The 13,362-nt window shown below is 46.7% G+C and overlaps 1 protein-coding gene across 5 annotated transcripts in view, besides 1 other annotated feature; it reads left to right on the top strand.

The window, feature by feature from the left end:
- Positions 1-4,465: 4,465 nt before the first annotated feature.
- The window catches only part of IRAG1 (inositol 1,4,5-triphosphate receptor associated 1), a 120,661-nt gene continuing 111,764 nt past the window's right edge, over positions 4,466-13,362 (top strand). For 3 of the 5 annotated variants that reach the window (NM_001206881.2, NM_001206880.2, NM_130385.4), the window contains exon 1: positions 4,466-4,685. Coding sequence is in view for 2 of the 5 variants with exons in the window: in NM_001206880.2 (NP_001193809.1) it covers positions 4,619-4,685 (67 nt within the window). In the remaining 3 variants the exon portion in view is untranslated. Of the gene's footprint in view, positions 4,760-7,851; positions 7,957-13,362 lie in introns of all 5 variants that reach the window. The other 2 variants (NM_001100163.3, NM_001100167.3) reach the window with 2 other exon arrangements.
- Positions 9,760-9,809: an enhancer, noted in NCBI's record as "active region_4443". NCBI's record gives its function as "activates an Ori minimal core promoter by ATAC-STARR-seq in GM12878 lymphoblastoid cells {active_cell/tissue: GM12878}" and the evidence as "EXISTENCE:reporter gene assay evidence [ECO:0000049][PMID:35858748]".

Raw genomic sequence — 13,362 nt, 5'->3', positions numbered from 1 at the left:
CTTTAGCCTGATGGCATCTAGTCCAAATCTAGTACAAAAGCTTCTTGATTTAATTCCCTTTCTGTCCCTTCTGCCCATAAACTTTAATTCATCCCCTCTCTGTTTGGCTCCATAACTCATTCCTGTCCTTGTCACACCTGGCTTTTCAAGTCCAGAGCCTCTCAGGGGTTTCAAAGCTGGTGACCTCCCTCTCTAGATGTCGTCTAGGGCTAGGCCGAAGCTTCCTTCTCCCTGCCTCATTAGGCACCTCTCTTCTATGCCCTTCCCAGCTTCCAGAAATATGTCCACTCATGCCTGCCCTCTCCCTCCATTCCTCTGTGGCTAAGAATTTATTCCTTTTTAAGGAGTTCTTTGCTATCATTTTAATGGGGTTGTGGGACAGGGAGCGACACCTGTGTTCCCAGTTTGTAGTCTCAAACCTGACACCCGGGAATTCTAAAGTCAGAGAGATCTGGGTTTATGCCCTGCAAGACATCGGCAGGCATCTTGACTGCCCTGCATCTGTTTCCCCATCTAGGATGTGAGGGTGAGAAGCTCCACACCACATGGATTTGGTGAGGATGAACTCTACCGTATATGTAAAGTGGCTGACAGTGCTGGGCACCATGTTCAGTATGTAAAGTGGGTGACAGTGCCTGACACCATGTTCAGTAAATGATACCTGTCATTGTTGCCTGGGTGCAGTTCCTAGAGATGTGGTCTCTTATTTGCTCACTCACTCATCCAGGGCTGAGTGCTGAGCATATCACAGAGTTCCTAAGTCTAAAAGGGGTAGGGAAGTCAAAACACCCAGTGAAGTCAACCGAGCAAGTGATCGCAGAGCTGGCAGCATTCTTGGCAAGAAGCTGTTTTTCCTTGCTTGGCTCCCCTTGGTGCAAGGATATGTCTTTTGCCTGAGACTCTAAAACTTCTTCCCTGGCCTTGGATTAAATGGCCTGTTGGGAGAGCCTCCCCGAGCTATGTGCCAGTCTGCCTCTGCTGGGCCCCTGCTTTTAGGCGGAGGACACATGACTGTCTCTGATGGGAATGAGTGAGAAGCTGAAGATTTTGGGAGAGCGAGGCCAAATCCCTGTGTGGCTCCAGGAACAAGGATAAATATAGCCAGAGTAATTGCTCATGCTCTTTTAAGGATTAAAAGTCAGCTTTTGGGCAAGCTGTGAAGCTCCATGATAGCAAGGGACACAGTTCCTTTTTTAGAACTGTGGTCAGCACTCCTTGTGCGTTGCTGGATCCCAGGCCTCCATGACGCTATTCCCAGTGGAGTAAAGGGATCGCCTTCACTGGTCTACCTGACACAAGGGAGGGATGGGTCTGAAGTGTTCCTGCCACATCCCATTGTCCCACATGATGTCTGGCACACTAAAGGTGCCCAATGAGCATTTTTAAATGGATGAGTGAGCTGTGAGAAATTTATGCTTTTAAAAATAACCTTTAGGATAAGATGTGTAGTCTAGTTAACAGTAGCATCCCAGTGCCAATTTCCTGGCTTTGAAATATACTGTACAACACCGATGTAAGATGTCTCCGTTGGGGAAGCTGGGTAAACGGTATGTAGGAGTCTTTGTACTATTTTAGTAACTTCCTGTGTATCTATAATTATTCCAAAGTAAGAAGTAAAAAAAAATAATAACCTTTAGTCAGGATCATGACAATACCCTTTGACACTTGGGGGAAGCAGTGCTGGAAGATGAATTGAGTAAATCCCTGTTTACAGCAATGCTTTTGTTTTGTTATTATTTATTAATGTAAACACATGTTTTGCTCATATGATTCAAAACTTTAAATGTATCAATAAGGTGTAACCATGGTCAGTCTTTACCCCAGCCACTTAGTTTTATTCCCCATTGGCCACTAATCTAAATGTTATTCATTTCTTGTGCTAATTTTAGAGATGATATGCATACTCACATATGAACTTGTGTGTATACATGAATGCAAGTATATATATGTATTTGCGTGTATATATGTACATATTACAATATGTACACACACACACACACACTCTTTTTCACTCAAATAGTAGCATTTGATAGACACTGTTATTTTAGTTTTTCTACTTAATGTATCTTGGAATCTTTTCAGATCAGTACACCAAGAGCTTCCTCACCCTTTGTTGTGGCTGCACTCCATCTTCTGTTATGGCCCCAGTTGCTAGACATTTATGTTGTTTCCAATCCTTTTGCTTTTGTAAATAATGCTGCAATGAATAATCTTGTTCGTTTGTCGTTTCCCAAGTGTGGGAGTGTGTTTATAGAATAAATTCCTAGAAGTGGAATCGGGTCAAAGGGTATAATCTTGATAGTGCTAAGTTGTCCTCTATAGAACTTGTTCCATTTTTACACACTGACAAGTCATGTGTTTTATAAAATGGTATTGCTAATGCAATGATTAAAAAGTTATTTGGTGATGCCTTTGTGTGGTGAAAGCTGTGGGTCTTTACCCAAGAGAAACATAAACCACGTAGTGGCTTACATGCAATTTCAGTTGGCTCAGAGACCCCTGAAGGTTATCCGTGAACCCTGGGTTCAGAAACCCTGGCTGAAACGGAGGCAGCATGATAAAGAGGACAGAGCTTTAGGGACAGACCACCTGAATTCACATCTCAGTGCTGTCACTTATTTACTGGCTGTGGAACATCAAGCAAGTTGTTTTACTTCTTCCAGCCTCAGTTTCCTTTTGAAGGAAAGGCGTAGACACTTGTGAGGATAGAGTGCTTTTATGTAAATCATCTAATCTAATGCTAGGAATATAGTAGGTACTCAATATGATATATGATTTTGAACTCTCTCTCTCTCTCTCTCACACACACACACACACACACACACACACACACACAGCCAGCCCTAAGTTCCATTTCAACTTCTGATTTTGATTGTCCCTGTAGTGCCTGCTGCTGGACTCACAAGATCAACCTTTGAAGCGACATTCCCTAATGTGGGATCCTTGGACCAAGTACATGAGAATCACCCAAGGGCCTTCACTAAAATGCAGATTTCTGGGTCTATGTCAGATCCATAGAATTAGAATTTCTGAAAGAGGAACCCAAGGAGCTTCACACTTGGGGGTTCTAATGCACATTGAAGTTGGAGAAACAGCACTGAAGAGTTTGGTCAGTTCCTTCTAGACCATATACTTGCAATTCTAGTAGTTACCACCATGTGGCTTTGTGGGGGACGGGGGTTGTGGGGGGAGCCTGTACCTCCATGTGGACAGGTGTGGACACTTGAGAGAAAGCATGGCTAGTACCCAAGACAGCCTCCTCTGGTTTCATTTACAAAAAACAATTATTGATGAGGGTAGCGGACTTCATGCGCTGCACCCCTGTTAGTGATCTCTCTTACAACAACCACACAGAAGAGACAGGACTTCCTGAGAACCACATGCCTGAGGAAGGTGCTGGGATGGAGGCTCAGTGGGCCAGGCTCAGTGGAGAGCATCTGCCACTGCTGCACAACTGATCTGTGGCCAGGAGCTGAGCATAAGGACTGTGTTTGCCAGGAGAGCTTGAGGCCATAGGCCTGGGAGCTCCAATCCCTAGTGCTCTCTACCATGACTACTGAATGTTTTCTGGGTGGCTAATGATGGCCAAAAGCTAGGGTTCCCGGATTTATCAAACAAAAATAGAGGATGACTAATTAAATTTGAATTTCAGATAAATAACAGTCTTTAATACAAGTATGTCCTGTGTTTATCTGAAATCCAAATTTAAATGGGTGTCCTGTAATTTATCTAGCAACTTTACCTAGGGTTTCTCTGTGCTGCTCTAACCACAGAAGGGGCTGAAGTCCCCATGTGGCTTGCCCCCAGCTTGGAGCTCCATGATCCTGGCCTTGGGTAGGCCCTATACCCAAGGCAGGTGAAGAGTGTGTATGGACAGGGTATGGATTTCCTGGGCAGGGGCAGGAAGCTCATTCATACTGATCTAGCTCTTATGAGATGCTGGCAGTGTGTTAAACACTTGACTAACATCTCATTTAATCCCCTGACTACCTAGTGAGTCGGGCATTATCATTATTATTTCCACTTTAGAGATGAGGAGACTGAGGCTCCACGATGTTAAGACCACAGGCTGTTTAATGGAGGAGCAAGGTTGACATCCCTGGGGCTGGTGCCAAGTCTGGGAGTAGCTGAATCTCCCAGGCCATTCTCTCTGGCAATCCCAAGAGTTTAACGCAGTGGGAGCAGCCCCTGCCCCCGAATCCCCAGGACAGGAACCATTCCCAGTTTCTCTTGGCGCTGGCCCAGGGTCTTCTCCAGGCTCACATGCTTGCTGGAGGCTCCAGGCGGGTGGGGAGATCTGCAGGGTCCCTTTGTTCCCGTCCGGCCAGGACAGTGTCCAGTGGCACGAGTTGCCATGGGGACTGCCATCTGCTGTGTGGATACCCATCGGAGGGGCCCAGGGTGAGCGACTGCCCCAAAGGCCCAGCCTGCCCTGAGCCCTGAGGCCAGCTGGTCGGCTTTCCCTGCCATTATCCCCCGAGCCAGGCCGGAGTGGGGCTCCCAGAGGAGCTCTCGGCTCTAAGTCCCAGCCCCTCTCAGAGGAGGCGTGCGGCCGAGGTTCTGCAGCCAGAGGCTTCTCGGCTCTGAGCTCCGGAGCCAGATGTAACATTGACCTTAAATGGTAAAAGCTCCCCAGAGTGAAGAGAGGCTGGCCAGAGGAGGAAAGGAGAATAACTCAGTTTTAGGTAAGCCTCCCCTATATCCTAGAATAACCTGCCTCTTCGGCTGGGAAGCGGAGGGAACCTTCTCTTCCTTAAAGGTACAGGGTGCTGGGATGGGGGTGCTAAACTTTAACTTTCCAGGGGAGCTGGCTTTGTTGGGTGGCATTTCAGCTGAGTATCTTTATTGTTGCTGTCTTAAGTTTTAAATCAGAAGTGAATCTTGCCAGTCCTAACTTAACTAGATTGTGCTCCTTTTGCTTGCCGTTGGAAAGTGTGCACAGCTCAGGGTGAAAATGTGGGTCCTGACAGGCGATTGCAACCCCTAGCTTTCCTGTGGGCCCCTTTGTGGCAACAGTGGGGTCTTCAGCTTTGGCAAGTCTGCTAAGCAGAGCTTTCTCCCCTCTGTGCTTCCTGTGTCTCTCTCTCTGTCCCCCTACGCCCCTCTGCCTTGAACCTGGGCTGGCATGACCTGTCTAGATCCTTAAGCCTGCCTCTATTTCTGTCTCTGCCCTTCCCATCCTGTGTTCTTGTCACAGTCCCTGTTTTTATCTCTGTCCCTGTCTCCTCTTTTGTCTCCAGCTTCCCCTGGCCTGTGCCCTTCCCTGCTCCCTAGAGGGGGTGTATGTGCCCGGCCCGTGCCCGGCCCTGCTCACCTCCAGGGCTCCGAGTTGAAGCGATTCCTAGAGTGAGCACCATTTGAACTGGCTTTTTCCAAAGGAAAAGCCAGTGGAAGCCAGAGGCCAGAGAGAGGCCCAGCTGTCTTGCTCCCTCCTGCCCAGGAAACAGTTGTAAAGGCTATAGAGGCTCTGCAGTTTGAGTAAACAGCAGCCCGGGGTCTGGGACCCCTGGCCAGCACTCCAGCCTCCCAGAGCTCGGCAGCTGCTGAACACTCTTCAGGCTGCTCACTGGGGTGGCACAGGGAAGTAAATCTGGTCTGAGCAGAGTCTTTTGCAGGGAAAAGGAGGAAGCTTCCTGGGACTGTGAGGCTGGGGGTCCAAAGGAGTCAGGACCTGCCAAGGATTGTATTGCCCCCACCGAGGGACGATGACATGCTAGTGAGGCAGGTGGAGTTGCCCATCCCCCTGCACTCCCCTACCCCAACAGTTCTATGGGGGAGGGAACTCAGGTTAAGTGACTTGCCTAAGGTCGTTCCACCAAGATGGAGCGGAGCTAGGACTCAAACCCTGTATGAGTTTGTATGACTCTAACTCCAGTGCCCATGCCTCTCAACACAGACGTGAATGCCAGGGTATGATGCTGCCTCCAATTGTGTCTTGCGATTTTTGACCTAATGGACAAAACAGTTGTCATTATCATGTTTGTACTGTCCATGATTCCATAGTGCGTGTATGTGTGTGTGTGTGCATGCATATTTGGTGGGTGGCTGTTTATATTCACAGCGGATGCACCTATCTTTATGCTTGGAGGTAAGGGAGGCATTCCTGTATCCTTTATCATCTTGGAGGGATAACCATGTGCTAGCTGCTACTACATGATTGGTTATCCCCATAAATATATTTCTGAAAGAAAATAAACAGCAAACACATGGTTCTTACTATGTATTGAACACTGTTCCCCTTCCCATACAGTAACTCATGACTCCCACAGCTCTACAAAGCAGGGGTCATTCTTTCCACCCTGGTCTTGTAGAGGAGGACACTTTAGCACAGAGAGACTGCACAGCTGATGCTCAGCCCCAGGCCATGGTCTCTGGAGGCTCTGCTCTTGACCTCCATGGTCAGCTCCCGTCTGCTTGGGACCCCATGTCAGAGTGCAGCGGGGGAATCACCGGCCCCCTTGCAACATGGTGCATCTGAGGCTTTCCACGAGGGATTTCACATGCCCCCTCACAGAATGCCATGGGGGATGTATCTTTACCTTACTGCTCCAGGTGAGGACAGTGGGGCTAGGGGATGTTAAATGACTCGTCCAAGCTCACCCAGCCACCAAGTGACAAAGCAGGGAATTTAAATAGTATCTTGGGTGAGGAAGTTAGGGCCATGTGAAACCTACTTGAAACTGAATCCCTGGGAGGCTGAGGAGGCTCATGGTTTGGGGATGAGGAGTTCTGTGGGTCTGTGTGAGGAAGCTAGGTTCCTTGACTGATGGGCTGAACTATACGTGATGGGTCCTCAGCTTTCTAAAAAGCCCTGCCTTTCTCCTCTAAGTCTTTGTAACAGAGGTGGACAGAAGCACCCCACACCTCCTGGAGGAGCAGACTGAGCCCTGCAAGGGCGGAGACCTTATCCCGTTCCTCACCCGTTGTGTGTCTAGCACCCAGAATGCCGGGAGCACACGAAGTGCTCAGGTTCAATCATGTTTCTGTGAATAAATGGACACAATGCTTATAAAGTGGGTTCTGGTTACACAGGGCCCTGGGTTGATTTTGTACATGTGCCTGATGATCAGATTCATCTAGTTTGACCCTAAAGAACACAAGGTGGGGGCCTGAAGTTACCCACCTCTCTCACCCTGCCTCCTCTCCTGGGTCACCTCACAGAGCCTGGACTGCCCCTCAGCCGCTCTCTCTGGGGCTTATTGGTCAGCAGAGGGATTGTTTGCTGACTGAATAGAAGCAGAGGCCTGGGTAGATAGGGAGAAGAGAGCTTGGGGCCCCCAGACTCTGGCCCTGCCCCTGCCCCTTGGGGAGCTGAGTCAGAGGAGGGAGATGGAGAGCTGAGTTCTCAGGTAGTGAATGTAAAAGGAAACGGGAGAAAATTGGTATTAATTGAGCTTCTACTTTGTGCCAGGATCTGTGCTAGATCTGTTATTTAATTTAAGCCTCATGTTAGAGATGAGGAGAGAGGCATACAGCTGGTAGGTGGTGGACTCCAGCTCAAGCCACCTTGGTCCAAAGCGGGCGCTTCCTGCATTAGATGTCACCCTGCCGCTAGTTAGTAACTTAGGTCCTGGGGCAGTTACTGAGTGTCACAGTCCAAATCACAGGAAAATCACGAATAGAGGGAAAGGGGATATCATGTTAGTCCTGTGGACCTTGGAGGCTAGACTCTGAGTTCAGGCGACAGTCCAGGGCAGCCTCACAAATGGGCCTTCAAATTCAGAGTCTTAGCAGAGGTAACTCACGCCCATGACCCTGGACAAGCCCTGCCTTCTCTGCAAGGGCTTTCTCCAAGGGAGGTGGAAAGCAGAGGACAGTTGGTCGGACAGGAAACATTTTTTTTTTTTTTAGACAGGGTCTCGCACTGTCACCCAGGCTGGAGTGCAGTGGTGCAACCCCACCTCCCGGGTTCAAGCAATTCTCATGCCTCAGCCTCCCAAGTAGCTGGGATTACAGGTGAGTACCACCATGCCTGGCTAATTTTTACATTTTTAGTAAAGATGGAGTTTTGTCATGTTGCCCAGGCTGGTCTCGAACTCCTGACCTCAAGTGATCAGCCCACCTCAGCCTCCCAAAGTCTGGGATTATAGGCGTGAGCCATCGCACCCGGCCAGACTGAAAACTTTTCCTAGCGGAGAAGACATGTAAAAAAAGTCTGCTAAGGCTGGGCTTAATCAGCTCTGGTTACTTTCTTCCTATTACTTTTTTATTTGTAATTTGTAATTTCTATTCAGTTTTTTCTAGAAAAAAAAGTAATGCATGTTCTTTGCTAGACTTTCTTGGAAAATATAGAAGTGGATATAAATAAGAAATTCAGAAATAAATATAAAGAAATAAAAAACCCTCTAGAATACCATTCCTCAGTGATAAGTATTGTTTATATTATGGTGTGTTTCTTCCTTTACATTTCTCTATATTTTGTAAAACTAGGATCTTAGTGTATATGCTATTTTTTAGTCTGCTTTTTAAAACTGAGCATTCTAATATAATCCTTTTTCCATATCATTAAAGATTCTCCAAAACATGATTTTTCAATGGTTTTATAACATAGAGTCATTTTAGCCGTGCAACAATTTAATCACTGTTCCTCTTCTTGGCATTTACAAATGTGATTTTTCTTTGGGGACTTTCTCAGTGGCACATGTGACATGATGGCTCTTCCATAGGTTTATAGCATTTGGAGACTCAGCTCTCAGAGGTGGGTTTGTGTGGTGTGGCCCAAGGTGTGAGCTTGTTCTGCAAGATGATCGTATGTGGGATACTGACCCAGCCTTAAACACACAACATCACATTGTAAGAACATTATTCCTTCTTAAGTTCTTTTTATTCCTTTGAATGAAGGAGAGAAAGCCTCTATTTGAGGTAGGTTGACCGACTGTCCAGGGTCAGCCGGGAATGAGAATTGCTGCAGGACTTCCAGTGCTAAAATTGGGACAGGTCCTGGACAAATTCAAAAGGTTGGTCACCCTCATTTAAGCCTCATATGCCTTCACCATCTTTCTGTTTGTTTCCCTTCTTAAAAAAATGAGAGCAGGCCTTAGCTAAGGTTTAATAACCGTTTTCATTTTATTTATTTTTATAACTCTATTTGTGGTAAGTGGTATTGCTTTTTCCATTTAAGGTAGGAATATAAAGTTTCCCTTTTAAATAAAAGTAATGACAATGGTAGCTAACACTTGGTGAGTGTGTACCGTGTGCTAGGCACTGTCCTAATGCTTTACCTGCAGTCGCTCATTCAGTCCTCACAGCAACCCTCTGAAGTAGTTACTGTCATTGTCCTCCTTATACAGATCAGGAAACTGGGGCACAGAGAGGGCAAGAAACTTGCCTAACAACACAAAGTTAGTAAATGGCCAACCGGGGTTTCAGTCTTGATTTTCTGGCCCATTGCTACTCAAATGAAAGAATATTAAGTAAATAAAGGCATAGGTAAAACACAGGCATGGGAAAAATTGTGAGCATAGTGTATAAATGAGTCAGGTCATTCCACCACGGCTTGGTGGAAATCGGGTTGTATGAACTTGGTGGAATCCAGGTATTGGTGAGTGCAGGGTGTTGGGGAAGTTGAGTCATCCCAGCAAAACCAACAGGAATTTAGGAACCAATGGGCTCAATGAGAGAGGCTGAGAGGGATGAGACTATACACTGCACACAGCCTGGCTCTAGGGGTGGGATGTGGTTCCCAGAGTGGCCACCAGGGAAGGGACACAGAGAGGCCACAGAGAGTTCTGTGGCTGATAAGCAAATCAAGAGGGTGTTTCCAGAGAGCCCAAGCTTCCTGGCTCATCAGGAGGAGAAGAAAGCCTGAAGACATTCTTGACTTTGCTCATACAGGTGTGGTGAAAATAACCCCGGGCTCTGAGTCAGGAGGTGGGCTCAGTGTTGGCCAGCTCTTCCCTTATTATCACAGTGGGGAGATGACATCTTGTAATGGAGGCAGCACAGTGTCCCTATGGAAAGTGTGGACCCTGGAGTGACCGTGTGGCTCCACCACTGACCAGCTGTATCCCTTGAGCTGCACCTAATCTGTTGGCGCTTCAGTTTCTTCTCCTGTAATATGGGTTCAGTATCCCTTACCAAAATGCTTGGGACCACAGGTGTTTCAGATTTCACTTTTTTTTTTTTTGGCCTTTGGAATATTTGCATCATATTTACCCAGTTCAGCATCCCAAATCCAAAAATCCAAAATCTGAAATGCTCCAGTGAGCATTTCCTTTGAGTGTCTTGCCAGTGGCCAGAAATTCTTGCATTTTGGAGCATTTTAGATTTCAGATTTTTCAGATTTGGAATGCTCGACCTGTAATGATAGTGTCCATTTTACAAAGTTAAATACCACCCCCCCCCAAAAAAAAGCAAAGCTAAATCCCTTAGCCCACTGTCTATTCTTAGCACTCGGTATACATTAGGTCTTATTATTTCTAGCCCCTGTCTGTTCCCCTCCAGAGATTCCATCAAGAAGACTTCTGCACTGGGTTTGAGGCTCTGACCATCCACAGTCCTGGGTCCTATTCTCAACTCCAAAAACACCGCAAGGAGAGTGGTGGACTTCCTCTCAAGAGGATTGGGCATCTGTGTCTGGTGAAGTCTTTAAGGAGGCCCAATAAATAACACCTCTTTCCTTCACTGAAGCTTTAAGGCTTGTTGGGAATTCAGAGACTAATATCACCCGTATGACTGATGAAGCTGGTGTTGGAAAGTGTTTGGATCAACAGGCAAGTAGGTTTTCTAATATTGCATTGAGCAGATTTATCCCCCAGCCCTAGGGGGTGCCCACTGGGGAAAGTAGGGCTCTTTAAATATTAAAGCTTGGAGAAACAGAGCAGAATGTGTGTCCCCTGAAAGCAGCTAATTCCCTAGAGAAACAGAAGAGGGAGGGCTGAGCTATTCATGCAGGTACTTCTCAGAACTCACCATCAGATAGCCATTCTCTTGGTGTGGAAGAGCGTGGCACTCTGGGGTACCACTATGAGGGCCTGGCTAAAGCCCACTTGCAAGGCTGGTCTCCCATGGGCACCTGGCAAGACTTGTGTCCTGCCCTAGTGAGAGACAGGCAGGGCCGAGGCTGCAGGGGTTGCCACATGGTCCCATGGGCACCCCCTCTCCTCCCTTTTCCAGTTAATCAATCCTCATCTTTTCTCCAGAGATGCCTGGTGGGGAACTTGTTTAATGCAGAGTCCTTCCTTAGACAAGGCAAGCATCTGACTAGAAGTTTCTGCGGCGATGAATTTTCCTTTTTTCACAGAAGTTTCATTTAGGCAACTCCAGACAGGGAGCAAGTGATCTCTTAACTCCTTTCTTCTGGGTTACTTCTTACAGATAGATGAGAAAATATATGGGAAAGGAACTACCATTGTTTGAGCAAGTTTGTATGTGCCAGGCACATTTTATACAATATCTCATCAAATCTGTACTTTAGCCATGCAAGGGAGGTATTTGTGAACAAACTGATTCAAGGAGGATAGTAACTAGTATGAGAAGAATGAGAGTCAAACCAAAACCATCAGACCACCAAGCCCCATCTCTTTCCATCTCTCTGTGGCCTATAGACCTGGCTGCAGGACAGAGTGATAATGCCTGACCCTTTGTTCCTGCCCCTATAAGAACAAAGCCCTGGAGGTCCCAGTGCTGCTGCTCAGAGCTGAGGTCCTGAGCTCTCGGGGCAGGGCACTGGAGCAGCTTCCCCACTAGGCTTGCTCTACTTTGCACTTCTCTTGGTTTCTTTCAGTATGTAATGATCTTTATCAGGTCTCCTAGTCTTGTTTATGAACAAGTTCCTTCCTCTATTTAGAAGGAAAAATACAAATTTAGAATCACAAGCTTTTTACTGGCAAGAAATGCCATGTCCTACATTGTGTGTCTTGAGTCACTTTCTATGGCTCTCCAAAGTTTGTGCCCTAAAAGTCTGTAAATGTTGCCGAGGTCACCCAGTCTGTTCAAATCCCAGCCCCACAACTTACTGTTTGACGTGGGCGAATGATCTAACCTCTGAGTCCCCTTACCTATGAAATGGATTGCTAGATCTAAAGTACTTATACCTGAATAAGTACCCAATAAGTAATTATTATTATTGAAGCCCAGATTAATATTGAGCACATGGGAGTCCTCTATTTTGGATGCCCCCAAATGGTCAGGTTTCCCCAAGGACTCTCTTGTCATATTTTTGACTTGTATGGGTATGGTAGAAAGAATGTAATGTCTTCCTGGGCTTCTTACCTAAGACATCTTTCTTGTTTCCCACCTGAGATCTAACTGGTCCCCGTTGTAGTTTGGAAGGCAATGATGATAAGGCTAGGTGTTGTCAAGATAAACCTGGCTAGTTGGCTTCTAAGAGACTTCCCCAAGGAGCATCACCTTGGGGATGTTCTAGAGTCCTGGACCTATCCCTAAGCCTGGTTAGTGACCTGGAATTGATTAGTTGATTGCTTATGTAGAGACTGACTCACAATAATCAAACTCACAAGAGACTGAAGTATACAATTTTTTTTTTTTTTTTTCAAGAGAGGCAGGGTCTCACTCTGACCCCTGGGCTGGAGTGCAGTGGTATAGTCACAGCTGACTTGCAGGCTTGACCTCCCTGGCTCAAGTGATCCTCCCACCTCAGCCTCCCAAGTAGCTAGGACTACAGGCATATACTACCTCACCTGGCTAATGTTTTAAACGTTTTTTTGTTTTAGAGACAGGGTCTTGCTATGTTGCCCATGCTGGTCTCAAACTCCTGGACTCAAGTGATACTCTTGCCTCAGCCTGCTAAAGCACTGAGATTACTAAAGTATACAATTCTTTTAATTCTTTTTTTTTTTTTTTGGGAACGGAATCTTGCTGCATCACCCACGCTGAAGTACAGTGGTGCGATCTCGGCTCACTGCAACCTCTGCCTCCCAAGTAGCTGGGATTACAGGCATGCGCCACCATGCCCAGATAATTTTTTGCATTTTTAGTAGAGACAGGGTTTCACCATGTTGGCCATTCTGGTCTCGAACTCCTAACCTCAAGTGATCCACCTGCCTCAGCCTCCTTTCAAAGTGCTGGGATTACAGGTGTAAGCCACTGCACCCAGCCAAGTATGCAATTCTGAATGTCTATGTGCCAGTATATGATAGGAGACAAACCCTTTCCAATGACCAAAATGCTTGATAGATAGAGATTTAGGTAAGAAGGCAGAAAGTTCTGAGGGGTGGGTCACCTAAGCTATGATGTGGCCTGATGAGCCACCTCTGCCTACAGCAGAGAGACTCTTCCAGAGCTCAGGAAGGGCCTCTTTCCTCTGGGAAGTTTGGACAAGCCTTTCTCTTTGCTGTAGAAAAATGCTCTATAAAATGGTAGTTATTATGTGATATTCACATAGTCTGTCCCAGCACACAA

The sequence above is a fragment of the Homo sapiens genome, chromosome 11 (genome assembly GCF_000001405.40).
Source record: "Homo sapiens chromosome 11, GRCh38.p14 Primary Assembly".
Taxonomy (NCBI): Eukaryota; Metazoa; Chordata; class Mammalia; order Primates; family Hominidae; genus Homo; species Homo sapiens.
The sequence above is the reverse complement of the archived record's forward strand: the minus strand, read 5'-3'. Positions and strand labels throughout refer to the sequence as shown.